Genomic DNA, 27,425 nt, shown 5'->3' with positions numbered 1-27,425 from the left:
TCCACAGGCCTCTGTGGCTCTGTTTATTTTTTCTGATCTTCATTGTTTCTTTGTTATTTCTCTTCCTCAGACTGGGTAATCTCAGTTGAGATTAACTTCAAGTTCATAGATTCTTTCTTTTGGCTGTTCAAATCTACTATTAAGCCCCTCTGGTGAAATGCTCATTTCAGTTATTGTACATTTGGCTCCTTTTTTTTTTTAGACAGAGTCTCACTCTGTTGTCCAGGCTGGAGTGCAGTGGCACAGTCTTGGCTCACTGCAACCTCTGCCTCCCAGGTTCAAGCAATTCTCCTGCCTCAGCCTCCTGAGTAGCTGGGACTACAGGCATGCACCACCACGCCTAGTTAATTTTTGTATTTTTAGTAGAGACAGGGTTTCACCATGTTGGCCAGGATGGTCTTGATCTCTTGACCTCATGATCCACCTGCCTTAGCCTCCCAAATTGCTAGGATTATAGGCGTTCCTTGTCTATATGTTCTTATCTTTATTGATATTTTCTATTTGGTGAGACATTCTTATATCTTCTTTTAGTTCTTTATACATGTTTTCTTTTAGTCTTTGAACACTTTGGAATACCTCATTTAAAATATTTGTCTAGTAAATCTAATGTTGGGGCTTCCTCAGAAGCAGTTTCTATTGATTGTTTTTTCCCCCCTGTGTATAGGGAATACTCTCTGTATCTTTACATGCCTCACGTTTGTTGTTGTTGTTGGAAGCTAGACATTTAAAATAATATAATGCATCACCTCTGAAAGTCACATTTTTACCCCCTTCCCCAGGATTTGTTGTTGTTGTTGTTGTTAATACAGAGAAATACTCTGAACATAGCAGAGGACTTGGGCCCAAATACCCAAAGAGCTTCAAACTTGAAACTCTTCTTCAGGAGAGTAGACAGAGACAGTTTCCTGCATGTGGGCATGGAGCTCTTTTCAGGAAAACCAACATGGAAAGCGTACCAATAGTGCCCTCTGATAGTCACACCTCTTGGAAGATCCCCCAAATATCACAGGCCAGGTGAGGGCCCTGCTCCTACCCGTGAGATTCCTCAGCCCCTAGTCTTTGGCCTGTCTCCCCAGAATCACTAGAGCATATTGAGCCTGCAGATGTCACACTTGGTGGTCCTGATCCAGCCTTGCCCATGCAACCCCAGCCCAGGCCTGGACAACCTCCCCTGGAGATCTGGCTGGGTGTGGGAGAACAAATTTCTAGCCCTTTCTTCCGGGAAATCGTAATCAGGCAAAATAAGAATGATGACAAAGCTGCTGCCAGCTGGAGTGATCAACGGCCAGGTGTCACCTGGCTCAATAATTAACCAGGTGGTTGGGATAGGTCCAAAGGGTGGGCAGGAAGGAAACACATGGGTCACAAAGGACTCAAGCCAAGAGAAGCCAGAAGGAGGGACTGACAGTCAAGAGAGGCCTTTTTCAGAGGCCCAGGCAGTGGACACACCACCCAGGAGAGGTCCCTCTTCTTTCCTGGTGGATTTAGGGATAGCAGCAAGACTGAGAAAACAGGAGTCTGTCATAAGCACCTTTTGCCCAGTTTCAGACTACACAATCCTTTTGAGGGGAGGAAGAAGGAGAATTCTAAGGCCCTGGGGACCCTCAAAGCCCACCAAGCTGGCACGAGCTGTCCATTTTGTGCAAGAAGCATTTGTTAAATGTCTGCTAGAGTGTGATGTTATGATGCTGTATTTGAAAACAGCCAGATCTGGCTTCAAATCCAGGCATTGCTACTTGCCAGCTGCTGTGACCTTGGCTGAGTTAAGTTTCTCTAAGCCTTAGTTTCTACATCTACAGATGAGGATATTAGCACCTTGCTTACAGGGCTATTGTAGAATAGAATGTGATTGCATTTTTACAGAGTGCCCCATACATACCAGTAAATAGTAAATAGCCTTCCATTTGATCTTGTTGACAGTCTTGGACAAGGAAGAGGAACAGACCATGCCTCACTGCCTGTAACCCTTATGTGGCTTCCTTTGTCTTAATCTTCCTGAAGGCCTGCAGAGTCCAGCATCCCTGGTCAGGTTCCCTGTTAGGTATCTTCCTAATTCTATTCATACTTTATGACTAGATATTTACTTGTGTGATTGTTTTACTAATACCTGTCTCCTTCACTGACTCTTATTTACCATTTTGTCCTCAGTGTGTGGCAATCAATGGGGAAGTAAATGAATAAATAAGGATGAGGCTCTTGCCTTCACAGACCTCACTAGATGCACACACATGAAGAGGACAAAATAGCAGAGTGGCTGGGGGAAGGTGTCCAAGACTTCAGAGCAGGGATGGGGCCTGTGGACCAGAGAGGCTAAAGTCCAACTTAGGGTTCTCCCCTAGCCCTCCTCCAGGAATTCACTCGACAACTGCCTGACCCAGCCTTCTCCACTGCCCCGATCCATAGCCTCTTCTGACTCAGCCACCCAGTAGTGGAGCTGAGTCAGTATGGACTCTAGATGGTGCCATGGGGGTCAACCTGTGGGCTTTCCTGTGGTCCAGCCGCTTCACCATGGGGCTTTCCAAGCTAGTGTGGTCCACTTGCTCCCTCAGCAGTCCCAGCATTCAGGAGCAGAGCCTGGTCACTCCCCTAATCCTAGAGCCTGAAGAGGGAAACCAGCAAACAAAAGTGCTGCTCTGGCAGAGGAGGCTTTCACTGGGGCAGGGGACATGTGCTCACTGGGAAATGTGGCTTTTTTTCTTCAGGGCTCCCTGGCCACTGCCTTCACCAAATGACTTTAGTGCCTTATTCAAGGGGTCTTTGGACACCCACCCAGGCCCTGCATCTAGTCCTGTCACCAACTCCTTTCTTGCCACGGCCCACAGTCTGCACGAGGTTAACCTCAGGCTTCTTCCTCGTCTCCTCTGATTCACTTTCCTGCCTCTGGCCGGATAGTGGTTTGGGGTTTGGCCGTGGCCTCTGCTTATATAGTCCAAGCCAGAGTTCCTGACCCTGCCTGCTCACCGGCACCCGTAGCAACCCAAGGCCACTTTCCACTCCAGTCTCCTACCTGGCTCTTCTTGTCAGCCAGAAATACCTGAGCAACAAGATCTCTAACTACTCATCCCTGTGGGAAGCACCCAGCTCTGCCACCTTCCTCTGAGAACAGCCAGGCCCTGGTAGCATGCTGGTGCCCAGGGCTTGCCCAGAGGGGAGCTCTCTGTTTGGCTTGGGCACTGTTGGACCAGCTGGCAGGCACAGTATCAATACACACTTGATTCAGGGGCAGCCCTTTGGAGCCCACAAAGTGCTTTTGGGTTTGTCATTTTATTTGAACTGCAGTCCAGGTATACCTGGTTTGCACTCTTCCTTTTTTTTTTTGAGACGGAGTCTTGCTCTGTTGCCCAGGCTGGAGTGCAGTGGCACGATCTCGGCTCACTGCAACTTCTGCCTCCCGGGTTCAAGTGATTCTCCTGCCTCAGCCTCCCAAGCAGCTGAGGTTACAGGCGTGCACCACTATGCCCGGCTAATTTTTGTATTTTTAGTAGAGATGGGGTTCCACCATGTTGGTCAGGCTGGTCTTGAACTCCTGACCTCAAGTAATCAGCCCGCCTTGGCCTCCCAAAGTGCTGGGATTACAGGTGTGAGCCACTGCACCCAGCCACCTGGTTTGTACTCTTAAACTAGTTCTACAGATGAGGAGAAACCTGAGGCTCAGAGAGGTTAAATACTTACTCAAGGTCAAACAGTAAGAGCCAGTGAGAGATTCAAGCCAAGAACCCAATTTCTGTTGTTTTTTGGGTTTTGGTGTTTTTGAGACAGGGTCTTGCTTCATTTCCCAGGCTGAGGTACAGTGGTATGATCTGGGTTGACTGCAGCCTCAACCTTCTGGCTCAAGCTATCCTCCCATCTCAGTCTCCCATGTAGCTGGGACTACTGGTGTGTGCCACCGCATCTGGCTAGTTTTTGTTTGTAGAAATGGAGTCTCATTATGTTGCCCAGGCTGATCTCAAACTCCTGGGCTCAAGTGATCCTCTCACCTCAGCCTCCCTAAAGCGCTGGGGTTACAGGTATAAGCCACCACGCTCAGCCAGTTCTCTGGTTCTCAATTCAAAGCGAATATTGCTCTATAGGTATGATGCTTCCCAAGCAGCCCCTGCAGCACATGAAGCCCAGGAAAGGCCTGCCGAGATTCTCAGGTCTTTCTGGGGGTTCCAGAGAGGCAGCTAAGGGGAAGGGGTCTTTGCTGTCCTCATCACCAATCCTTGCTTAGAGGCTTTGAAGTGTACATTCCATCCACCACAGCCCAGTGATCAGGAAGGGCTCTAACTAGCCCCATTTCTGTCAGAAGCCAGGAAGACTCCTCTGCTGAAAATCCTTCTGCTTGGCCATTGAACAGTAGTTATTAGATACTAATCTCATTTGCTAATACCAATAAGGCCTCTAGAAAAGGCCACCCCTTACGTCTGGTCAGAATTTGCATTATGATGCCTCTGTTCATGCTTTAAGTATTAACCTTTGGCACACAGTTACTGAGCACCTACTGTGTGCCAGATACTCTTAGGCGCTAAGGCACTAGGCGCATGTCCCCCTTTAATAAAAGGAGGGATGTAGCAGTGTCTGCCACTGACCATGGCCTGGTGGGACAGACAGACAAACAGATTCCAAATTCCAAATCTGTAGAAGCACAGGGGAGGAAGGAATTGAACCTGGGTGGGCCTCAGGAGCTTGAGTCAGGCTGGGAAGGCTTCTCAGAGGGGCCTTGAAGGATAAAATGTAAGTTTCTTCAAAAATCTTTTCTGTAGCTCTTTTGATAGAAAGGGAAGAGCCATCTTAAGGGAAATGACAAGGGACAGGGTGGCAGGGGTGAGGGCACAGAAAGGGGTGACTGAGACACCTGAACACCTAGCCCCTGGTCAAATGTGCTTGATGCCAATCTTGGCCCTGTATCCTTGGTCCCTAAGTCCAAGGACCTAATCTTTGGGGTAGCACTGTCCAGTAGAATTTCTGGAATGATGCAAATGTTGTATTTCTGTGCTGTCCAACATGGTAGCCACATGTAGTTACTGAGCCCTTGACATGTGGATAGTACAGGTAAGGAACTGAATGTTTACTTTTATTTCATTCTAATTAATTTAAACTTAAATAGCCACCCTACCTGACAGTGCAGCTCTAGATACTTCTTATCCTGGATCACATTGGAATCACCTGAGATGTCTTTTAAAAGTTCTGACATCTGGTGCCTGAGCCTCACCCCTAAGATTCGATTTTGTTGATCTAGGGTGGGGCTCGGGGATCAGTATTTTTTTTAAACAATCCAGGTGATTCTCCCGGAAGCCAGTGTTGGGAACCACTAATCCAAAGCTGTCTACCACTCCCTCAGGGATGGGGAGGCCCCTCTTGTCATAGCTTTGCCCAGGGTGTATGTTTGGGCCTTCAACTCCTCTGGCCCTGCCTAACACCCCTCTCCCCATGGAAAGCCACACCCTCAGTCTCCTCTCCAGCTCCAGTAGGAAGGTCGAGCCCGAACGAGGGCCCTTACACGGACTCCTGGCTCTCCCCTGCTAACCACACTCACTTCCCAGCCTGGAAACAGAATTCATTCACCTCAGAGTCTGCAAGGACCTAGCCAGCAACCTCTGCCCTGGTCAGCAGGGCTCAGCAGTCAAGGAGCCTTATCCTTGCAGGCCGCCGGGGCCCTTGGACAGAGCCCAACCAGCCATTTTCCCAGGCTGGGCTAGGCTGGGCAGGAGCAGGGGCCAGTGACCAGGCCTGATGTTTGGCCACTTTCTGCCCAATACGAGCAGATATGCAGATGAATGTGTTTGGGACAGCAATAATACAGGAGGTTTTGGTACCAAGACTGAAACTTGGAGAGAACCTTCCTCCCCTGTGTTTTGTGGAAAAAGGTTCTCTGAGCTGGGGTTCATCCGGCAACTGCTGCCCACCCACCCTGATGTTTGCCACCCACACCCCAAAAGCAACTTTCCCACGACTCACATGGCAGCTTGTGCACTTCTTTTATTATTAAATATATAAGCAGCTTCCTATCTTTTAAATAGATATTTAAATGACTTTATATAAAATAATTCACCACTTCCAAGTATAAAAACAAAATCTCACAGTGCGTGAGCCAATGTCCTCTCTTGACTTCTCAGAGAACAGAAGGGGTTCCTGAGCAGGTAGCCTGGGGGGACACCAGAGGTGGCTCTGGGGCTCCTCCTGCTCTGATGCCACCAAGTGCTCAAAAAGAGCTTCTGCAGTGGGTTGGATTGCTTTTTTGACCTTTAAAATATTATATGTTTAAGGTAGGGGGATGAAGGGGGAATGCCTTTTTATTTTTCTTCCATTTAAAAATATGTGTTTTCTAGCATCAAATATAGAGGCTGTGACTAGAAGGCTAAGCCCCATATGCAAGTTCACTGCCCTTCCCTAAGCTGTCGGCATCAGGACAGGGAAGGTGGGGCCAGCCGACCCTCACTTTCCTGGGCAGGAAGGGAAAGTCACGGGGCCCAGCGGCCAGGTAGGGCAGGGTCTCTTAGCGGAGGACAAAGGGCGGCAGGAGAGGAGGCACACAGCAGCACAAAGGAACCCAGGGGCAACTGGCAGCCCTGTCGCTCGTTGCCTAGGCCTCAGAGCCACCACCACAGGCTGGCCACAAAGTGGAGGCCCTCCAGGCATTGGAAGCTGAGGCCTGGCTCTCCTGATTGCTCTCCCACCCTGGCTTGCCTGGTTAGAGGTGATGGTAGAGGGGGTGGGTGAGAGTTGGAGGTCATCACTGCTGACCAAGGTCAGGAGGAAAGAAGGGTGAGAAGTGGATGGGAGCTGGATACCATGCAGGTGGGGCTGAGATGCAGCCCAGTCCAGGGCTCCTGACAGGGATAACCTGTTCAGCCCCAGGTTCCTGTCGGCAGCAGGGAAAGGACACTGCGCTGGGGTTTGGGAGTGCAGACCCTCCCCCAACCTCAGGTGCATACCTATATTTCAAAGGCCCATCTTCAGTCAGAGCTCGCCCTGTAGCCTCTCTGTCTGTGCCCTCCCCTCCCTTGCTCTCTCCCACTAGTCCCTTCCCTCTTGGGAATGTCAAAGTGCAAGATGCAGAAACCTGGGCGAACAACACAGCCTAAAGACCGGCTCTGGCTGGCGGCCCAGGAGGTTCTCCCACCCCACTCCACTCCGGGGAGTCAAAGGCCAGGTCAGGAGAAGGTCAGGGCTGAGGGGCTCCCTCAGTCGACTGGTGAGGCCAGCTCAGTGCAGGAGGCTGGGGAGAGGCTGGAGAGTGGAGGACGGACGGATGCTGGCTCATGGATGGACGGGGGCAGGCTGTTCAGCAGGCAGGTACAGTGTTCACAGTGCAATGGCTTCCTTCATGAGGGGAGCCTCTGCTTGGCCTCCTGGAGAAGCTCTGGCAGGTGCTGGAAGGAGGAGGGGCAGAGGCCAGTGCTTGATCCCCCTCTTGGCATCACTGGCAGGTCAGGCAGGTCCTGAGGGCAGGGCTGGCCTCCCCTCTGCGCCTGGCAACCAGCACAGGGCACTTAGGTGAGCCGAGGGTGTAGACCCTTCAGGCTGTCAGTGCAGACCAGCAGGTCCAGAGGCCTCCTCTTCCCGTCTCTCAGGCTGCACACCTTTACGGGAAATCAGGCCGACGCTGTCCCGCCCCACGAACTTCAGGCTCCTCTCTCTGGAGACAGGTCCATGCCTGTCCAGGCTGGGATACCTTGGCACCAGGCAGGCCCTCTGGGTGCAGGGTTCTTTCACTCCTCAGCGTCCACCCTGCTTTCCCACAAACCACAGGCCGGTGGGTCCCTGGCCTGGGTTCCGGCATGGAAGGGAGTGAGAGGAGGGTGCAGCCCCTGAGGGAAGAGGGTCCTGAGCCGGGCTCACCAGCCTTCCTCAAGCACATGGGAGCCTCCAGGGCTCACAATAAATAGTGGCAGCATGGGGAGCATCCTCTGGCCTCTCTCATTCAGTCAAGGGTCTGCGGGTTGAGACAGAGGGGCCCCAGCCTGGCTGCTCTGGTCCAGTCCTGGCAGGCAGGAGCTCTGGTGGAGGGCAGACCACATTCCAGGAGGATGGCCAGGGAGGGGTGGTGGTGGACGCCCCATAATGTCTCCTCCCACGGAGAGACTGTTCTGTGCGTCCAGCTGTGGGAGAGAAGGAAAGGCTAGTCAGCAGAGTGGGAATGCGGGGAGGGTCGTTGAGGACATGGATTGGGAGGTGTGGCATTCCTGTGGGCTGCTGGCGGTGCTGCAGGCAGGACTTCCTTTCCTCCCTTCCCTGGCCTTTCCAGACACCACAGAGAGACCAGGCAGCTTTCTCTGGCACCAGCCCAGGCCTCTGGCCCAACTGGCCTCACCTCCTACCTCCTCCTGGGGAATCAGGGCCTCAGTGGAAGATAACGGGGCCCGGGAGAGGTCTGGGCAGGGCTGGGAAGAGGGGTTACTGCTCAAGCAGAGGGCTCTGACAAGGAGCGAAGCGGGCACTTGAATGTCTTTGGACCCCTCCTCAGGCGAGGTCATCTCATTGGCCTTGGTCCAGTGAACAAAGGGTGATTCCTGCTAACACTAGCAAAGAAGAATCTTTCATTTCATCAGAGGGGCATCACATATGATGTTCAAGACAGTAGGGCAGAGCTAGCTGAAGAGGAACAACTTGGGCCAGAGAGGAAAAGTCTAGAGGCAGTGCCAGGACAAGGAAATTCCCACACTGTCATTTGGCACGCGACCCCTAAGCAACCCAGCCCCTCCTGGATGGGCCGAGGGCCTTGCCTCCCGCATCATCCATGGGAGTCAGGGCCTTGTCCTCTCGCCTTCCACCCCCATCCTTGTCCTCTTGCCCAGCATCCTCAGGACGCTTTGTTCCCAGAGCAGAAATCCCCTGGACCCCATCCAACAGTTTGACTTTGGACCTTGTGTGGAGCCTCCCTCCCTAACATCCATAGGCCCTACTGGGTAAGGAGGGAAGATGGAACCACAGCCTCTGGCTCCCTGCCCATTCCCATGCTCTAGAGGGAAAGAAGGGGAACCATAAACTGGACATGAGCCATGCTGGGTACAGCCAGGCCACAGGCCCAGCTAGGGCCCAGGAGGGGAGAAGGACCCAGTGAGCGAGTTCCAGCCTGCTGCCCCATCTTCTAGCTGCTTAGGGCTGAGGTGCTGGTGTCTGCATTTTCTGTGGCTCTGAGTCCCTATCTCAGTCTCTGCCTCTATGTTTCTCTCTCTCACTTCTCAAATCACAGCAGCAGTCACTCTAGGGGCTGGCACTCAATCTCTCCAAGGCCACTGGTGCCTGGCCTGGAGACCACCTTAGGGCTGGACCTGCCGGGCCAAGTGGGATCTGGATGTAGCCCCTGCCCTGGATTCCCTCTCCAAGTGAAATCTTGAGGGGGAAGAGGAAAGCTTGGGACGGGCCTGAGAATAAGCAAGTGGGGAAAGGAGGGTGGGCGTGTAGAGGGGTGGGACAGAGGGCCAAGACCACGGCGAGGGGTTTGGGGACAGACGACCCGTGGGAAGGGTGTTGTGGCACTGAGCCACCAGCAACCAGTTCTGAGGAGGCCTGGGTCATTTCACAGTCTTGCCAGTGCCCCAGCTGACCCACTCACCCATCTTAGCCCACCCCACTGACAAGGTAGACCCCAGGATTCCAGATATGTTGTTACTGCTGGTTCTTGTCTAAATAGGTTCCCCTGGTTTTGAGCATTTGCCAAATTCCCTATCTCTCTAGAAGGGGCCCAGACCTGTCACTCCACACATGGGAGAGCCCTGCGGCACTGGCTTGCACTTGGTAAAGGATGTGACTGGAAACTTGACTGGGTCACCCCAGCTAGTCAGCCAACCAGCCAATTAGTCAGGCAATCAGCTAGTCAGTTGCTCAATGGGCTCCCCAAGCAACAGCTGGTCAGTTAGGCAGTTACCAAGATAGTTGGTTGGTTAGTCATTCACCCAGCCAGCTGGTCAGCCAGTCAGTCAGAGTCAGTCAGTTAGCTGGTTAACTGGTCAGCTAGAGGCTGGTCAGTTAGAGACAGCTGGCCAGGGTCAGTCCGTGAGTCAGCCCTGAAGCCAGTCAGTCAACATTTATTGCATGTTTGGCAAATGTGGAGAGGCCCTCTCTTAGTAGAACCCAGGATGGAAAAAGAAACACAAAAAAAAGTGGAAGACAGTCCCTGCCCTCAAGGGGCTTACAATCTTAGGGATGTGGAATGTACAATACATATAAAATAAGATTTTAAAAAATATGAAAACAACATCCAAATAAGTGCAAATTGATATACTATTAGCCAAATACAAAAGAGCAGGAGGAGCATGACTGAAAAGAGCAGTCAGAAGGTTGTGGAGAAGCCAGGAAGGCTTCCTGATGGGCTGGCTGTGGGCTTGGGTGGGAGGGGGAAGAGGTGGGCCAGCTGGGGTTGGCGGGGGGCAGGGGTGAGGAACAATAGGGTCACAGCTACATCAACAACATGGGCAAAGACAACAGCAGGCACTCATCAATGTGCAGGAGGCACAACTGGGAGGGCTACGGAGATGACAGAATTAGGATTTCACACAACTTCAGTAGGTTCAGGTGATGGGCAGAAACCAACAAGGTGGCTTTAACAAAGGTGAACATAAACTGCACTTTGGTTAAAAAAGTTAAGTTGTCCAAGTACAGGGTAGAGATGGTCTGGCTTGACAGAAGTTTATGGGAAATGGAACTAGGGGTTTTAATAGACCACAGGCTCAACATATGACAACAGTATGATGCAGTTGTTAAGAAAAAAACTAATGCAATCTTAATCTGCACAAATAGAAGAATACTGTCCATATCAAGGAAGGTAACAGTCCCACTGTACTCTCTCTGAGCTGGTCAGACAACATCTGGAGTACTGTGTCCGGGGCTGGGCGTCACATTTTCAGAGGGACATTGACAAACGAGTGTGTCCAGGATGGTGAGGGGTCTGAAAACCATATCATATAAGGAACGTTTGAGGGACTTGGCCATACTTAGCTTAGAGAATTCTCAAAGGGGACATGGATACCTGACTTGAAATATCTGAGGGTTTTCATGAGAACAGGAGGGAGGAGCAGTATGGAGGGGGCAGGGAAGCCAGTTTTGCCTCGCATGAGGAAGACGTTTCTCCCAGTCTGACTGGAAGATGGCATGGGCTGTGGCTAGGCAGGGAGCTGGGCTGGATCTGGGAGTGTGTGACAGCCAGCTGGCTGGCTCCCTGTTGGGGACATGGAGAGGGGCAGTCCCTTTGGGGTGGGAACCAGGGCCAAATGACCCCTGAGAGCCCTTCCAAGACTCAGGTTCTATGTCAACATGATCCTAAAAGCAAGGAAGCAGAACTGACCTCAGCTGGGGAGGAGGGTTAACTGGTGCGGGGGTGGCGATCTGGCAAGCAGCTGCTGTCGAAGGGGCTTGGCAGCCAAGCCAAGAATATAGGGCTTGCAGTGGCTGCCACACAGAGCTACTGAAGATTCTCCAGGAGGGTAAAGACCTTATAAAGGCCACATTTGAAAAAGGGGGGTTTAGTTGCTCTGAGGTCACAGGTGGCAGCAACACTAGAAGCCCAATGCAGAGGTAATAGTCCCTGGCCTCAGCGGGGGTGGATGGAATGGAGGGGCAGGGGGATAGCTGAGGACCTGGAAAGGAGAGGGTGGCTGGACCTGGCTGGCGATGTATGGAAAGGGAACTGGAGAGAGGCATGGGAGTCAGTGTGGGGGCCTCAGGGGAATTGGTGTCACCAACAGGTGAACGTGACTGGAAAAGGGTATAGGTAAGTTTTAGGAGTGGAGATCAAAGTCAGAATCTTACCTTAGAATTCCCTCTACACTGGCAGTTCCACCTGTCTGTCATCCTGAGTCAGGGGGCTGCAGGCAGAGCACAGGGCTGGTATTAGACATCAGCAGGAGCAGGGGAATAAGGGGACTCCGTAAGTTTACCCCTAAGCCCCAGACATGCTCTAGGCCCTCTCAGATTGAAAAGACCCAGAACTGTCTAACTCTACGGAGAAATCAGGAAAAAGCCCAGATATCTGGGAAAGGACAGAGGCCCTTCTTCTCTCCCCCATCCTGTTCTGCAGCTCCATTTCCTCAGAGCAAGCAGGAGAGCCCCACCACCACGAAGAGGGGAAACAGATCCCAAGCCAGGCCCCCAGTGCCTCCCAGAGCCCCACCTCAAGCTCTCACCTGCCCTCTGGTTGCTCCAAGGGAGAATCCGCTCTCTGAGGCTCTTGATGGCTCTGAGGACAGGAAAGAGCATCTCACTGAGGAGCTGGGGGAGTGTGGGGGGGCGGTGGCCCATCCCCAGTAAGGGCTGCCCCAGGTATTTATGAGAGAGTTGCAAGAGTCCTCCCAACTTCCCAAAAGTGGGGATCAGCCAGAGGCCCAAGGGAGATTTGTGAGGTCTCTCTGCTGATGGTGTCCCCTCTCCTCTCCCCACACCCTTGCAGGCTGTTCCCTATGGGTCCTCCTGCCCCAGGCTCTGCAGAGCTTCCAGTGTACGCCTGCCCTGACACGCTCACACAGCATTGCTCTCCTCCTCCAGCTCCCTGCCCGTCTGGATATCATCCTGCTGTCAGCCCATGAATATTCTCTCCCGCTCCCTTCTGCTCCAGTCCCTTCCCATTGACCTTATAGCTTGAACCTTCCCAATTCTCGAAGTAATCCTCCATTTCCACCTCTCATCCTCTGTGCTGAGCCAGCCCCTATCTCTCTGTGTCTGAAGAACTCAGGCCGCACCCAAGCTGTCCCCCCACCTGCACCCCCGCCAGGCTCTGCCCCTGCCCTAAGGGACGTGCTCTTCTTCCTCATGGGGATCTACTCACCCGCCGCCTCCACCTGTAGAACAAGAGGCCTCCGACGGCCAGCAAGACCAGGATGACACTGGGCACCAGCAGGTGGAAGACAGACTCCTGGAGCTGCGGGCTGAAGGATCCCTCGGACTGCCTCTCATGGCCTGTGTCAGTCAAAGGAACGGAGTTAAAACGGGGCAGGGGCCTGGCTGCCCCTTCACTTGCTGGTCCTCCTTCTGGCTCTGCGGGGCTCCTCCGATCCCTGGTGCTCCTCCTGCCCTCCAGCTCCCCAAGGGGCAGCACGCTGCCCGAGGAGTGGCTTCTGGAAAGCTGTGGCTGAGCAGAGAGGGTGGAGGGGTTGCTGAGGCCCTGGGGGCGCAGTGATGAGATCCTGGGAGAGCCTGGCTCCGGGGGGTCTCTGAGCAGGGCAGATGGATGGTCTGTCTTCTGGGGGGTGTGATTCCAGTCCTGGCCAGTGGGCCTCACGGGGCCCACCCTGGGCAAGGCGGTACCAGTTACATCTGCCGGCTGTTGGCCCTTTGCTGATGCAGGGAGTGGAGAAGATGCTGAGAGGAAGTTGCTGGGTCTGGCGGGCTCTGTCTGCATGCTGCCCCCTCCTGGCCTGGAGGGGGAAAGCTCTGTCCCTTGGGGTACGGGAATCTCACTGGCCTCTCCAGAGGCTTCTTCTGGGACCCAATTAGTGCCCATTGCAGAGTCAAGAATATCCTCCATCCCGGGGTTGAAGGCCCCGACAGAGGGGCGAGGCTGTGGTGAGCCACCGATGGTGCTGTCCTTGACAACTGGGGTCTCTGGCGGCTCAAAGCTCTGGCAGGTGCTCCTGGGTGGCCGCTGCTTGGCACTGCCTGGATCCACTGTGTGCAGGGGCTGCTCACCAGGCAAGAGGGAGCTGCCCTCAGTTCCCTCAGAGTCCTCCCAGGTCAAGCCAGCCACAGGGGCCATGGAGGGGGCGAGGGGCTGATGAGGGGAGACAGAGGCCGGGTCACTGCTAGGGATGGCTTTGGGGTACAGGCAGTTGCAATCAGGCTTGGTCACCACATCTGAAAGAACCACAGAGAGAAGGAGAGAGAAAGATGGGGAGGAGATAGAGTCACTAGCCTCCAGCACAGCTTTCCCAGAGCGGGGCAAGAGGGGAATGTGAGTCTGGGGGGCCCTCATCTCCTAGCTCAGCCCTGGGGCTGAGAAGAGGATGGGACTAGAGTGGGTGCTCATGACACAGGGAAGGTGCCGTATGCAGGGTCTCATGAGCAGTGACAAAGAATAGGGTTGAGATGCACACACTGGGGGTTGGGGAGAAGGAAGATAAGAGAACAGCCCATGCAGGGGTTCCCACTGGCCACAGGCCAAGCTAGGGGTGAGCAGCAGTCAGGTCAGGAGGCTGAACGGTTGCCTTCCAGACCAATACAAGACAACTTCAAGCCCCAGAGACACTGGTTTCATGCATAGCCAGGAGCCACACAGCCACAGCCACAGCCACAGCCACAGGCAGGAACAGGCTGGGGCTAGAATGCAGCCAAGGCTTGAGGACTTGGGATTGAAGCAACGAGACTGGACTTGGCCACTGGCAGGTTGCAGGGCCCTAGACCCTGCCTTGGGAAGCAAGGTTGAATGTAGGAGGGCACGTGTGGCACGAGACGCAGAGACGAGGACACGCAGTGTACACATGTATGCAGCTGAGCCAGCCCTGGGAGTTCCAATGATGCTCAGACTTCAAATCCAGCCTTGTCCCTTGAGGAAACACCCAAGGCATCCTGGGGACTTCTGGAGCCAGGGTATCATGGTGATTCGCAGCAGAGCTCCTGGAGCAAGGGCCCTGACTCCCAGATGGGTGTCAGCTGTCTCCACAGAACCCCCCACACGTTCAGCCAGCCTGCAGAGCCAGTGGGGAAAGCTTCCATACCTACAGGGCTCCCAAGACAGGCTCCCATTTCCACTCCCTAATCTCAAGGCACCAGCATGATCCTTCTTGACGCTGCCACATGCAGACATATGTAGGTGTGCATGCACACACATGTCAGAAAAGACATGTGCCCAGGACCAGAGGTACGTGAAGCCACATATATACACAGAACAAGCACATTCATGCACACGGGAACACGAGTAGCAGCCAGGCTGCCTCCCCAGGGGTCCCCCCAGCTTCACATCTCACCTCCCAATCCCCATTCCATATGCTACCACCCCCACACACTTGCTGGCCCCTGCCATGCTTACCTTGGCTGGAGCATTCAGCAAAGCTGTTGTTGCAGTTCTTGCTGAAAATATTCCAGTCCTTGTCAAGGAGATTCTTTGTTTCATTAAAGACATTCTTGACCTTCTCCAGCAACTGGAGAGGTGTCTCATAGAAAGTTCGGACGCAGGCCTGGAAGGAGATCAGGGCCCCCTTTTGTGAGCATGACCATTGGCCCCATGTCTCCATCTTATTTGTCAAATTCCCTTGGCCTTTCTCACATCTGTCTTCTTTTTCCCTTTTGTTTCCTTGCTCCCCTTTCCCCTGGTTTGCAGCAGAATGAGTCCTGAGGTTATGAGATATGTCATTTATTCACAGACCCATTCAACATATGTTTATGTGCCAGGCATATGGTAATTACCTGGGAATCATGCAACGAACAAGAGAGAGGTGGTTCCTGGCTGAGTTGGACACTGAGTCCAGCAATCCAGCAGGGACTAAACACATTGTTACAAGTGCAATGAGTCCTATGAATAAGTACTGGGCCATCCGATGGTGTGCAACAAGGGGAACTAAACAAGTGTTCAGGGAGAATTTCCCCAAGGAATCAACTAAAAGATGAGCAAGAGAAACCAGGAAAGAGATGGGATCCCAGAGAGCTGTCCAGGCTGCAAGAACAGACCGTGCAAAAGTCCTGAGGCAAGAAAATGCATGAAAAGCCCAAAGACTAAAAGAAGGCTGGTGTGGCTGCAGCACTACCATCTAGGAGGAGCGTGGCAAGAGACGCACATGGAGAGAGGTTAGCAAGGGCCAGGTCTTGAGGGCCTCGTGGGCCAAGACCAGAACTTTTAGTTTTGTCCACAGAGCAAAGGGAAAACATCTGAAGGGGTGTTAGGGGTGGGCAGTGGCATGGTAAGAGTTGAGTTTGAGAAAAATCATTGAGCTGTGGTGTGGAGAAGGGAACGGGGCAGCCGCCAGGCATATGGGTCCTTTGCTGGCATTGGTGTGTCTTAGAGGGAGGGCTGAGGAGGTCCCAGCCCTGTCTTCTGTGCTGCTCAAGGGGCCCCGGCTTCCCACACCCACTGGAGCTCTGAGAAGCTGCATCATCCTGGGTCTTCTCCCACCTTTCAAGCTGCTCTTTCTGTCTCCTTACCAAGCTCCCCTTCTCCTCCTGATATCCAAATGCTGCCATCCCTCAGGGTTCACTCCCGGGCCCACCTCTCCTTTCACACAAGGCCATGCCATGCATGCTCACAGCTTCATCCAGGGCCTAAATGCCACTGAATCACAGATACCAAGTTTTTCCTTAAACTGAGCTTCACAGGGAAGAAACATGGGCTTTTCTAGGCTGTGAAGTCCTTGAAGGCATCGCCGCATCTCCCTGGCCTATGCAGTCAGCCCTTAAGAAATGTTTACCAGATAGGCCGGGTGCGGTGGCTCACACCTGTAATCCCAGCATGTTGGGAGGCCGAGGCAGGCTGATCACGAGGTCAGGAGTTCGAGATCAGCCTGACCAACATGGTGAAACCTTGTCTTTACTAAAAAGACAAAAATTAGCCAGGCATGGTGGCACGTGCCTGTAATCCCAGCTAGAAAGACAAAAATTAGCTGGGCATGGTGGTGCGTGCCTGTAATCCCAGCTACTCGGGAGGCTGAGGCAGGAGAATTGCTTGAACCCGGGAGGCAAAGGTTGCAGTGAGCTGAGATGGCACTACTGCACTCCAGCCTGGGAGAGAGTGAGACTCCGGCAGTTTACTTGGTCACTGCCACCTAGCTGGTAAGTGATGGAGCTGAGCCCAGTCTTCTCATTCGTACGTCTATCTGGTAAACATTTTTTTTTTTTTTGAGATGAAGTCTCACTCTCACTCTCCCTCAGGAGCTCTGAATCCCTCCCACTGTCTTCTCCAGAGACTTGCTGGGAGCTAGCTCCTCCAGCTTCACCCACCCTCTCTCTTGGAGCCTGCCCCTCAGCATTCACACATGTCTACAAGTGAATATCCAAGGGGGTCATAATCATCAGTGCGACAGCTGCTTAAGATGCAGATTCCTGGGTTCAGTCTTTTATTTATTTATTTATTTATTTATTTATTTATTTATTTATTTATTTATTTTGAGATGGAGTTTCGATCTCAGCTCACTGCAACCTCCGCCACCCTGGGTCAAGCGATTCTACTGCCTCAGCCTCCCGAGTAGCTTGGATTACAGGCATGCGCCACCACCAGCTGCTAATTTTTGTATTTTTAGTAAAGATGGGGTTTCGCCCTGTTGGGCAGGCTGGTCTTGAACTCCTGACCTCAGGTGATCCACTGTCTCGGCCTCCCAAAGTGCCAGGATTAGAGGCATGAACCACCGCGCCCGGCCCTGGAGCCACTCTTAAACCCAGTGTATCAGACTCTCTAGGGGTGTGTCCTAGGAATATGCATTTTCAACACATTCCCCAAGTGATTCTTAGGAATCTTAATGTTGGAAAACCGCAGATTTAATACCTCTCTTATTAAAAATGTTTTCCTGGCCAGGCACAGTAACTCACATTTGTAATCCCAGCACTCTGGGAGGCCAAGGCAGACAGATTGCTTGAGCCTGGGAGTTTGAGACCAGCCTGGGCAACATTGCGAAACCCTATCTCTACAAAAAATAGCTGGGCATAGTGGGGTGTGCCTGTTGTCCCAGCTACTCAGGAGACTGAAGTCAGAGGATCAATTGAGCCTGGGAGGTTGGGCTGCAGTGAGTCGTGATTGCGCCGCTGAACTTCAGCTTGGGTGACAGAATGAGACCCTGTCTCAAAACAACGACAACAAAAACAGAACAAAAAGTCCTCCCTCAATTACACACTCCCTCCAGCTACATCTCTTTTCCTGCCCCCATTCGGATCCAAGTTCTTCCACAGTGGTGTCTCTACTTCCTCTCTTTCTGTTCACCCTGATCCAGCATGTGTGACACGTTGCCAAATCCAATGGACAATTTTAGCCCTCACCTTGCTTGATTTCTCAACGCTTTTTTATGAATCTCCATCCCTTATCCATCTTGGAATGCAGTGCCTCGACTCTGCACTCTCCCTCTTTTCCTCCCACCTTCAGGCTGCCCCTTGCCAGGTCCCCCATCCTCTGCTTGCCCTCCAAATGCTGGGTTCCTGGGCCTGCTTCTCTTCTCACAGTGGCAGTGCTGTCCAGTCCCATGGCTTCACAGATAAGCCGAACCCCCATGCCTCATAGATCTGTGCATTGCTGGTCACACTCAAGACCCGCACACCTAGCTGCCTCCTCAACGTCTCCACTCACCATTTCATGAGCACCTCACGTCTGCTGTGCCCCAGACTGAACTGTCTTCCCTCAAACCTGCTCTGCCCATGGATCATCCCCGTTTCAGCATCATTGGAATATCCAGGTGCTCAAGACAAAAACCATCCTTGGCTTTTTCTTTCCCTCAGCTTCTCACATCCACTGCACGTACCAAGTCTTGTTGATTCTGCCCCTAAACCCACGGGAACATGTCCAGTCCACTTGCCTCCACCTTCACTGTCCCACCTTGGTCCAAGCCGCCAATGTGTCTAGCCTGGACTCACACCTTCTGCTGGTCTCCCAGCCTCCATTCCTGCCCCCTGTGGTCTATCCTCCACATAGCAACCAGGTCAGTCTTATAACCTGAGATTAAGCCACATGCCTGTTCACAACAGCTTCCCTCACCCTTAAGACAAAATCCCACATCTCTAAAACCACATGTGATCTGGCTCCTGACTTCTCTCCTCCCCCTCCTTCACTTCCCATGCTCTGGCCATGCTGATAACCCTTTGGGTCCCTGAATGTGCACTTTCCTGTTTGTTTACCTTAGGGCTTTGTGCATAGCTTTTCCTGTTCCAGAATGTTCTTCTAGCCTTACTGCTTTCAATTCTTACTCATCTTTGGAGCTCAAATCAATATTTGCTTACTCAGAAGCCTTTCTTGTCTCTGCTTCCCCAACTCCATGGAAGTCTGAGTTCCCTGTTGCTCTCCTTGAGCCCTTCAGGTTCTTGTTCCCAGCTCACTCCTCCACTTCCTTCGGGTCGTCTCATCCCTGGTTTACTCTTCTCCAGTGCTGTTATTGCCATGCTACATGTTGTATATTTTACTTACATATTTTGTTAACTGTCTCACCACCACTACCGTCACCCCCAAATGTAAGTTCCAGGAATGTGGGGATTTTTGTCTGTTTTCATCACAGCTGTTTCCTGGTGTCTAGAACAGTGTCTGGTACACAACAGACACACAATAACTGCTTGCTGTTGGAATGAACAGTCCTTATAGTTTGTAATTCTATTTACTGGTGTCATGGTTTGTTTAACAGCTGCCAAGCTCACTTGACTATAAGCTGCATGGGGTGGGACCATGTATTTGTTGCTCATGATGACATTGTCAGGGCCCAGCATGATCCCTCCTGCCTCCTGCCTGGTAAAGGTTGGTGGGATGACAAATAAATGAGAGTGAGCAAGCAATGGCGTGAGGCGAGGTGAGCGAATGTACTCTGTGCCTGTGGATAGAGCGGCGCCTCCACAGCCACCCTCTGCCCTCACTCAGTGCTCCAGGCCTCAGGGCTTCCTACCTTGTCATGCTCTTCATAATCCTTGGTGAAGCAGCTCTTCAGCCTCAAAGAGAGTTCCTGCAGCTGCACAATGGCGATGGCATTGGGGGTGTTATCTCTGAAGCGCATGGTGTCCTCCATTATGTCTTGTACCAGGAGAAATGCCTTCTTAAGGTAGCACACTGGATCTTTCTGAAAAACAGGAACCTGGAGCTTATGGCCTGGCCATTGTGGCCTGGGAACCCCCAACCCCAGGCAGATGGAGGGTTGCAGCTTGCTCTCCCCCTTCCCCCAGGGGAGGGACCACACCATGCCAGCAACTAGGAGAATGCCGCCCTCAGCTTGCCTGTCTTTCTCTCTCTTTGGGATCTAGCGCCACTGGAGACTGGGCTAGAGTGAAGGAAATGTGGATTCTGATTAGAGAGTTCTCTGGGTTTCTGGAATATGAGGCTTTAATCACGATGGATGTATATAGGGAAGGTGGGCTCCAGGGAACCTTCCCCTGCCTTTCTTTCTGTCTTCCTCTTGTCTTGCTTTCACAAATATCTTTTACCATATGGCCCCTTCAAATCCTCCAGGACATAGGGGTGCTGAAGACTATCTCATGGTCCAAAGAATAACCTCTGTGTTTTGTCTCCCTAAAGAGATGGTAGTTGCCTTGAAGACCCACTCTGCTTTAGCTCTCTACCCCCAGCATCTAGTCCAGTAGGTTCCTAGCAAATGCTAGTTCAGGCATGAGTGCTAGAGCAAGCGAGTGAGTGCATAAAATACTGAGGCTATTCTTTGGACCATGAGGTGATCTCTAGTCCTAACAGAGGTGCATATGGGTCAGGTGTGTGGAAGCTCAGAAACAGGGGCAACTTCTGGGTATCAAGGCAGTTTTGCATGAGGCATAAAGATGAATAGATGTGGAATAATGATTGGGGGGCAGGTGGAAAGGCATGACAGTCATTGGAAAGAGCTTGTGCAAAGATGGGAGGCAGGAAGAAGCAGGGAATGGGGAGGTGGTATAGAGGCTTGTGTGGTGGAGAATGGCTAGACCTGGTGTAACCCAGACTAGACAACCTTGGCTTTCTTCTGGAGTGATGGGGGCCCTGATGTTTTTGGGAGAAGGAGGTAAAGGCAGCAGGTTGGCGTTTCAGAAAATTTCCCCCAGTGGTAAGATGAGGAGTGAACTAGAAAGCAGGGAGACACCAGTTAGGAGGCTCTTGAAATTGTCCAAGCAACTGATTGAGGGGTGAAGGTGGGGATGGAGGAGACAGAACCCAGAGATGCTGAGAGGCAGAACCAGCAGCACTTGGTGGCTGGTTGGGTGTGGGGCAAGTCCAGGAAGGGCTGGACTGCCTACCTGCCTGCTGGTTGGCCTGGTGAAGAGAAGTGACATCCTTAAGCAAAGCTTGTGACCTGGAAGAAGTATTGATTTGCCTCAAGCCCTACAGCCAACCTTCCTGGATTCAAATCAGGCCTCTAGCACCTACTAGCTATGCTCCTTTCACCTCTCTGTGGATAATAAACTGTATTTGTGTACCACATAGTGGTACTGTCAGAACTACATTAGCAAAGTGCTTGGTACCTAGTGAGCGCTTGTTATGTATCAGGCCAGGAGAAGGGAATGGCAGGGGACTTGAGCCCTGGATCCTGGCACCCCAGAGTTGAGCACCCATGGATCCTCACACTCTCACCCTTTCCAGCAGTAGGCATTCTGCCGCTTTCATGCTCCCCCACACACCCCACCCTGGGAGTTGCATGCAGGCTGGTGCATGGATTTTGTAAAAAGCCATCACTCACCAACTGTTCCTGGTCTACAAACTCAAATGTAATTTGGCACGAGGTCTCCATCTGACTGTCAATCTGTAAGAGAGAGCAGGCCAACGATTGCAGGGTAACCTACAGCTCAACTCAGCCTTCAGCCTTCTTCAAAACGGGGACCTTAGCTTCTGAGTGGATTGGGGTTTGAACTTCATCCCTGCCAACCACACGTGGAAAGACAGAGTCAAGTCTAGGAGAAGATCAGTGCCTTCCAGATGCCCAGGGGAAGGCTGTAGAAGAACAAGAAGTCTCTTCTTTCCTTCTACCACCCCACGAAATCTGACAAATGCCCATTTGTTTTAAGGAAGAGATGTCTATAGAAGAATATAGGATATAATCTTCCCTGGAGGCAGTGAGCACCCTGTCATGGTAGGAATTCAAGCAGAGGCTGGACAAGCTCTGGGGATTGAACACCTGTAGGGGTTGGAGCTGGATGCCCTTAAAGCCCTCTTTAGCCCCAGAGCAGCAGTTCTGGATTTTAAGCCTCAGAGAATGCTGGGGCTCTTGGTCTACCTTGGATTGCTACAGCAACTACATACAGGAGAAGTAGTGCTGGGGCAAGAGAGGCGGAAGGCACAGCCCACAGGCCCCAAGCTCAGGGCCCTGGAGCTGGCGTTAGCCAGTGATGCCCCACCCTGCCTGGCTGGCCAGAGGAATGGTAAATTCCCACTGAGCAGGACAGCAGCCATGACAGCAACCTGATTCTGCCTGGCTGGACCACGTATGGGTCTGATTAGAATGAGATACAGGCTCCTTCATGGCCCAGATGAGCAGGCCATCCCAGCCTCAGGGTATGGGCAAGAGCCAGGGAAGTGAGTGTGGAAGGCTGGGAGTTAGGCAAGCGCTTCCCCTCCAAATCTGGGTGGGGCTCTGATGCCAGACTGGCGCCACATATGAGAGTCCAGGAGCTAGATGCAACATCTGGACACAGCAGGCCGCCTGGGCTAGCTTCCCAGAGGAGGCATCCCACTGAGGGACAGCAGACCTCAGAAGCCTTTTCAGAATCAGTGGTTGATGTTCCTGGGCAATCACTAACCCAGGCAAGCAGCTGGAAGCCCACAGCATCCACTGCCTGCAGGGCAGTCAGAGAGGGCTTCGAGCTGGGGAGACCAGAGGTCCTAACTTTGGGAAGGTTAGTGAAGGGTATCACTGGTGGAGCTAGTGGGAACCACAAGCAATGTCCCGCACTGCCCTATTTTCCTGCCTGCAACTGCTCTCTTTGACCTGCTCCCTGGCTCCTGCCTTCATTTCCCCAGTGGGGAGAAGGTAGAATACAGCATGGCCACACACTCACCAGCCGCTGCAGAGACTGCAGGTGTCCACTCCCAATCATGTGGCTACAGTACTCCGACACCTCCTCGGTGATACTCCTGCTCGCCAGGAGACAGACCAACAACAGCAGGGAGCCCAGCCATGTCTGTGACAGAGAGGGTGTCATTTCTCCCCAGGTCTCACTCTCCCCAGTTATCCCCATGCCCTGCTCAACGCAGAAAAACAAAGGCCTCATATCTACAATGCTACAGGCTCTGCCCCTTACCTCAGGATACAGCATCCCTCAAATCCAGCTTTCCCAGGATTTCTAGCAGCCACAGCACAACCTTGTTCTCCCATGAAAACAACCCAGATGTCACCTTCTACAAGAAGCCTTCCCAGATTAAGCCAGCCAAACCTAACTATACATTGAACTAATACTGACACAGATGGTGTGCCTACCAGCCTAAATTTTAATGACACAGGAAACTCGAGAGCAGGACTTGCATCTACCCATTTTTTTCTGTCTCTGCAACATCAACACTGAGCCAAGCACTTTTTGAACTGCCCTCAAGTTCATGTTCATGCACCGGCTTTCAGATGGCAAGCCAGAGACAGCTCCCCTGGGCCCAGCATTTCCTCCCACCTGGTTCCATGCAGATCTGGCTCTGCCACTGGAAAAACTGTGGGATCAAACTCAGTTTCACTGGAACTCATCCCTTGCCAGAGACATCTTGGAGCCCTGGGTGTGTGTTTCAAAAGGAGCCCAGCTGATTAATCAGAGGCACCAGTGCCAGTAATGGGCCATCCCTTGCCTGGCACCTGCCTATTTGAGCACCATCAGGCTTTGCCTCCAGCCAGCCACCTCTTATCATGGCAGAGAAGTTTTCTGAGACCCCTCTTCTCTCCCAGCACCTACCTGGCCCAGTAGTTGCTCAGCCCCAGAGTGATGGGACTGGCTCCTGATGCCCTGTCTTTCCCCTTCCTTCCTCTCTTCCTTCTCTTCACTGGGGTCTCCTCATCCCTACCCCTGGCCCTAGGTCTCTCCTTCTTCAGCCAAAAGCAGACAGACTCTTGGGCTTTCTTTCTCCAGCTTGAGGTCACCTCCTGAGAGCTCCCAAGCCTCCTGGCGGCTGATGCCCCCAGATTCAGGGAAATGCTGGCAGGGTAGGGTGAAGGTTGACACTATCCTGGACTCTGGGTTTTGCCTCAATAATCCAGATGTTGAGACAAATACTGCAAATAAGTTGCTCACTGGAAAAACACAACGAGGCTATGAAACAGCCCACAACAATGTGCTAATCTACATATCACCAAAAGCCCAAATGCTTGCCAGCTCTTCTGGGGAGGAGAAGGCAGCTCTGGCTGGGTGACCAGGGAGACTGCAGAGAGCAGGGACCTCAGTGAGGCCTTGAAAGATGGGGAGAAGGTGATGGCAGGAGAGGGGTGGGAGCCATGGAAGGAAGAGCCAAAGGATAGTTTCATACCACTCAGCACAGGGACTGTGAGGATCCTGGCTGATCTGAGGGAGGGAAAGTGTGGAAGAGGGGGACGGCAGTCACGGGGGCTGGGGGGACTTCAGGCTCTGTTGGGGAGGTTGCCCTGGGTGGGAATAATGGCCCAGGTACTCAGAAACCTTAGGTTCAGGAATGATTGGAGGAAACTGGGCCACTAGACGGTGTATCTACCCCAGACTGGCTGCCACTCAAGGTCTGGAGTGAATGGTATGGATGAAAGGGACCGCTCAGGAAGACAACCTCCCTGGAGGAGAGCAAGGTGGGAGCAATGCTTAACCCCAAGGGCTGTCTGGCTTTGATGACATTTGAGGCATCAGTGTGGGGAAAGTGCAGCCACTACATGAGAGGCTGACTTCGAAGCTGGCCAAAGGGGATACCCCTGGACCTGGGGCCTCCATTCTGCCTCAGGAGGATCTGGACAGACAGTGGGGGGTTAACACTCTGGCTTGCATCTGGCTGGGCAGGCTCTCCTCTGACTGCCTCTTCCTCCCACCCCTAGCCCTGGCTTCTGCCTGGGGAGCAGCCCTCAGAAGGAATCTCTGCTGCAGGCTCAGAGATGCTAGGACACCTCAGTCCAGCTGTCCAGCCTCCTCTGCCACCTATCCTATTCCATTTCATCTTCCCCCTCAACAAGGCCTCTGGAGAGACCTGGCAGAACCGGGCCCTTGGACTTCCCCTGTCTAAACACAGCCCCCTTGTCTTTCTCTTCTTTCCTCATGGTCTCCCCTTCAGCCCCGAAGCTTTGCTTTCTGCCTATGGCTAACCCTTCTCCCTTCCCCTCTCAACTCTATCTCCTCTCTCTCAGTGAGGCACTTTCTTTCTGTGGACCCACTCTTCCCTTTCTCTCTCACCTCACCTGCAGCCCGCTCTCCTCTACCCCCAAATAATTTTCTGCTCTTTTCCCCCCAGGTTTCCCCTCTCATTTTCTTCCAGGACTCCTCAGAAGCAAATCTATTATGAGCCCACTGACTGGTCATGAACAGTGCCACCCTCACTTTCTATGGCTGCATCTGCTACCGCCACAGTTGGGGCAGGGCGTCCCTTACGCAGTCAGGAGCAGACCCTGCCCCTGGACACAGCTCTGCAACACCAAACCCTCTTTCCATTTTCCTCAAGCACTGCAAACCACCATAAACCACCACAAAGCCCAGAATCTCCCCAACCGATGAAACCAGAATTTGCAAGAAAAAGAGATTCTGAGCTAGCCCCAAGCAGCCCCGGGGGTGGGGGGCTGTTTGCCGGCTGTTGCCGTCCCCCACCCCACCCCCCAAACAGCCACCCAAGTCCTCCGTAGCTCCTGCCTGTGGGCTGGAACAAGCAGTGGCTTGCCCCTCTCCGTCCCTCTGCCAGCAAGTCCCTGGCGTTCTATAAGCTGGTTGACCCCCTGAACTTTCCCTGCCCAGAAGCGCCCACTCCTCAGCAGGGCCTTGGAAGCACGTGTGTGGCCGATGAGGAAGGTGCCCACCGGGGAGGGCACACACTCAGCGCACAGCCACTCCGCCCGTGCCTTGGTGGTGGCGGGTAGGGAGAGAGGCAGGGCACCCTGGCTGAGCGGGGGCTCCTGCCTGCAGGTGGCTCAGTGTTCCCCTCCGTGCAATGGGGTGAGCAGCCCTCCGTTTCCCAGGGAAGCCTGGCAGTCCCGGTGCAGCTGCAGGGCCGCCACCGGCCTCCGCCCTGGCGCCAGGGCCCAGTCCGTGCGCAAAGGCGGTTCGTCCGCGGCGGGAACGCCGGGCCAGTGCAGCCGGCGCGCCCAGGCTGTCGGCTCCGAGGGGCCGCTCCCGGCCGCCTGGCCGCCGAGCCCCCGCCCCAGCCCGTCCCGGGCCCAGCGCCGCGGCCGTCGCTTACCGTGGGAGGGCAGCGCCCGGCGGCGCCCGGCGCGGTCATACGGGCAGCTGGGTCCCGGCCGGGCGCGTCGGCCGCCCTCGCTCGCTCGCTCGCTCGCTGGCTGCTGCGGAGTGGGCGCCCCGGCCGAGGGCCGCACCGCTGTCCTGGGATGCGGAGAGCGGCTCTGGCGCCGAGAGGACCCAGGCAAACTTTCACTTTCCCCGGGCCGAGCCTCACTGGCCAGCCCTCGGCACAGCCTTTTAAGAGAGGACTGGGGGGCATGTGGTTTATGGGAAATCACCCTGGCCAGGCGCCAGACACACACATACACACACACACACACACACTGACACAGACACACACACTCCAGAGGCCCACTCAGCCGCCTTCCCCCGCCTCCCCTCCCCCACCCGCCGGCCGGCCAGCCCCGCTCGCGCGTCTTCCTAGTCACCCTCTGTCTTCTGCGCTGCACTTCCAAGCCTTCAGCAAACGAGCGCGGGCTCCACCGCGTCCCCACCCTGCCTTCCCCGCGCCCTCTGCGGACCGACCCTTTCCTTCCGCGCTCTCCAGGCTGATTCAGTGCTAGCGCTCTATGATCGTCCCAAGGGACTTTCCCTCCAGGCCTGAAAATCCCCAAATCTTAGCAGAAAACGGACCGAGAGCAGGGACAAGCACTGGGAAGGGAGGGAAATCCTTTGAAGACGCCCCCACCCCATTCTCGGAGTGCCGAAAGGAGTCCAGTGTTACTTGCTCCCTCGTGGAGCCTGAGTCAGCAGGTTTGCCGGCAGCCCCCTTCTTCCTCTGCAGCCCCCAAGCAGCCCGGCCAGCTTCAAGTCCCATTCTGGGAGGGAGGCCAGCTACCTGGCCAGGAAGGGAGCAGCTGTGTCCTGTGACAGCAAGCTGGGGGGCTCTTCCCTGGGTGCCAGCAGACACTTCAAGGCACCTGACCCTTAGATGATGAAAATGCTGGCTGGTACCCATGCTCTCTCCTGGAGGCAAAATCCAACTCAGATTGGAAAGGTCCTGCACCTGGACCCTAGATTTCCCTGGATGTTTTTGGAAATTGCACTTACTGAGGTGATTAATCACGTTTTGTTTCTACATGAGAATGAGTCTAAGTGAGGACTAGTAGGATGAGCCTAAGCCTATTAATTATAATGCCAACTTCAGGAGATTTTTCTTTCTTCAATTCATTATGATTCAATTCCTCTGTGAGGTTGCCCGTTTCCACCCCCTGGGAAATAAAGGATATGTGGCCTGCTCTTGAAGAGGAGTCTCTTGTCAGTAGCGCTACATATCCTTCACTCCAATCCTAGGCAATAATTTTACACCCGAATGCCTTTGCTCAGACTGGTCCCTCTGCCTGGAATGCTCCTTTCTCCACATGGCTGAAGACAAACTCCTCATCATTTCAGGCTGAAATTGCATCTCATCCTCCACCAGCAAAGCCTTCTGTGACTCTCCTGGCAGAGCAAAGGGTCCTTTTCCTGTGTTCCCATTGGACTTGGCTCATTCCTCAATGCTGGCTCTGATAAGTCATTTGCCATCCATTCATTCTCCACAGTACTTTTCGAAG

General features: G+C 53.3%; 1 protein-coding gene across 6 annotated transcripts, besides 8 other annotated features; it reads right to left on the bottom strand.

The window, feature by feature from the left end:
• Nucleotides 4,909-5,857: an enhancer, noted in NCBI's record as "H3K27ac-H3K4me1 hESC enhancer chr1:110473698-110474646 (GRCh37/hg19 assembly coordinates)". NCBI's record gives its function as "activates a minimal SCP1, AML or CMV promoter by ChIP-STARR-seq in primed H9 embryonic stem cells {active_cell/tissue: H9 hESC(primed)}" and the evidence as "EXISTENCE:reporter gene assay evidence [ECO:0000049][PMID:30033119]".
• Nucleotides 5,571-5,785: a silencer, noted in NCBI's record as "fragment chr1:110473770-110473984 (GRCh37/hg19 assembly coordinates)". NCBI's record gives its function as "represses an EF-1alpha promoter that drives an FKBP-Casp9 reporter gene in an ReSE screen in phorbol 12-myristate 13-acetate-treated (for megakaryocytic differentiation) K562 erythroleukemia cells {active_cell/tissue: K562(+PMA)}" and the evidence as "EXISTENCE:reporter gene assay evidence [ECO:0000049][PMID:32094911]".
• Nucleotides 5,941-26,427, bottom strand: CSF1 (colony stimulating factor 1). 6 transcript variants are annotated; one of them, XM_017000369.1, is made up of 9 exons: nucleotides 26,301-26,427; nucleotides 22,552-22,674; nucleotides 21,237-21,299; nucleotides 19,470-19,640; nucleotides 14,939-15,086; nucleotides 12,743-13,767; nucleotides 12,105-12,157; nucleotides 11,731-11,786; nucleotides 5,941-8,081 (listed from the first exon to the last, which is right to left on the bottom strand). In XM_017000369.1, the coding sequence occupies exons 2-8, from the start codon at nucleotides 22,588-22,590 to the stop codon at nucleotides 11,744-11,746; spliced, it is 1,542 nt and encodes a 513-aa protein (XP_016855858.1). In that variant the 5' UTR covers nucleotides 22,591-22,674; nucleotides 26,301-26,427; the 3' UTR covers nucleotides 5,941-8,081; nucleotides 11,731-11,743. The 6 variants fall into 6 exon arrangements, with proteins under 6 accessions (XP_016855858.1, NP_000748.4, NP_757350.2 ...); NM_000757.6 differs by lacking the exon at nucleotides 26,301-26,427 and adding an exon at nucleotides 25,871-26,084; NM_172211.4 differs by lacking the exon at nucleotides 26,301-26,427 and adding an exon at nucleotides 25,871-26,084 and having other exon boundaries at nucleotides 12,743-12,873.
• Nucleotides 24,698-24,797: an enhancer, noted in NCBI's record as "active region_1457". NCBI's record gives its function as "activates an Ori minimal core promoter by ATAC-STARR-seq in GM12878 lymphoblastoid cells {active_cell/tissue: GM12878}" and the evidence as "EXISTENCE:reporter gene assay evidence [ECO:0000049][PMID:35858748]".
• Nucleotides 24,874-25,374: an enhancer, noted in NCBI's record as "H3K4me1 hESC enhancer chr1:110454181-110454681 (GRCh37/hg19 assembly coordinates)". NCBI's record gives its function as "activates a minimal SCP1, AML or CMV promoter by ChIP-STARR-seq in primed H9 embryonic stem cells {active_cell/tissue: H9 hESC(primed)}" and the evidence as "EXISTENCE:reporter gene assay evidence [ECO:0000049][PMID:30033119]".
• Nucleotides 25,375-25,875: an enhancer, noted in NCBI's record as "H3K4me1 hESC enhancer chr1:110453680-110454180 (GRCh37/hg19 assembly coordinates)". NCBI's record gives its function as "activates a minimal SCP1, AML or CMV promoter by ChIP-STARR-seq in primed H9 embryonic stem cells {active_cell/tissue: H9 hESC(primed)}" and the evidence as "EXISTENCE:reporter gene assay evidence [ECO:0000049][PMID:30033119]".
• Nucleotides 25,375-25,990: a biological region, named in NCBI's record as "H3K4me1 hESC enhancer GRCh37_chr1:110453680-110454180".
• Nucleotides 25,661-25,770: a silencer, noted in NCBI's record as "silent region_1162". NCBI's record gives its function as "represses an Ori minimal core promoter by ATAC-STARR-seq in GM12878 lymphoblastoid cells {active_cell/tissue: GM12878}" and the evidence as "EXISTENCE:reporter gene assay evidence [ECO:0000049][PMID:35858748]".
• Nucleotides 25,821-25,990: a silencer, noted in NCBI's record as "silent region_1161". NCBI's record gives its function as "represses an Ori minimal core promoter by ATAC-STARR-seq in GM12878 lymphoblastoid cells {active_cell/tissue: GM12878}" and the evidence as "EXISTENCE:reporter gene assay evidence [ECO:0000049][PMID:35858748]".

The sequence above is a fragment of the Homo sapiens genome, chromosome 1, assembly GCF_000001405.40.
Source record: "Homo sapiens chromosome 1, GRCh38.p14 Primary Assembly".
NCBI classification, from domain to species: Eukaryota; Metazoa; Chordata; class Mammalia; order Primates; family Hominidae; genus Homo; species Homo sapiens.
This window is presented reverse-complemented; position numbering and strand designations above follow the sequence as displayed.

What these genes read in the sequence shown, in the direction of transcription:
- CSF1 (NM_000757.6), bottom strand. Translation starts at nt 25,909, where the DNA reads ATGACCGCGCCGGGCGCCGCCGGGCGCTGCCCTCCCACG. An exon ending in CCGGGCGCTGCCCTCCCACG is followed by an intron (nt 22,675 to 25,870) that starts GTAAGCGACGGC and finishes TCTCTGTCACAG; the next exon opens with ACATGGCTGGGCTCCCTGCT. An exon ending in TGCAGTCTCTGCAGCGGCTG is followed by an intron (nt 21,300 to 22,551) that starts GTGAGTGTGTGG and finishes TCTCTCTTACAG; the next exon opens with ATTGACAGTCAGATGGAGAC.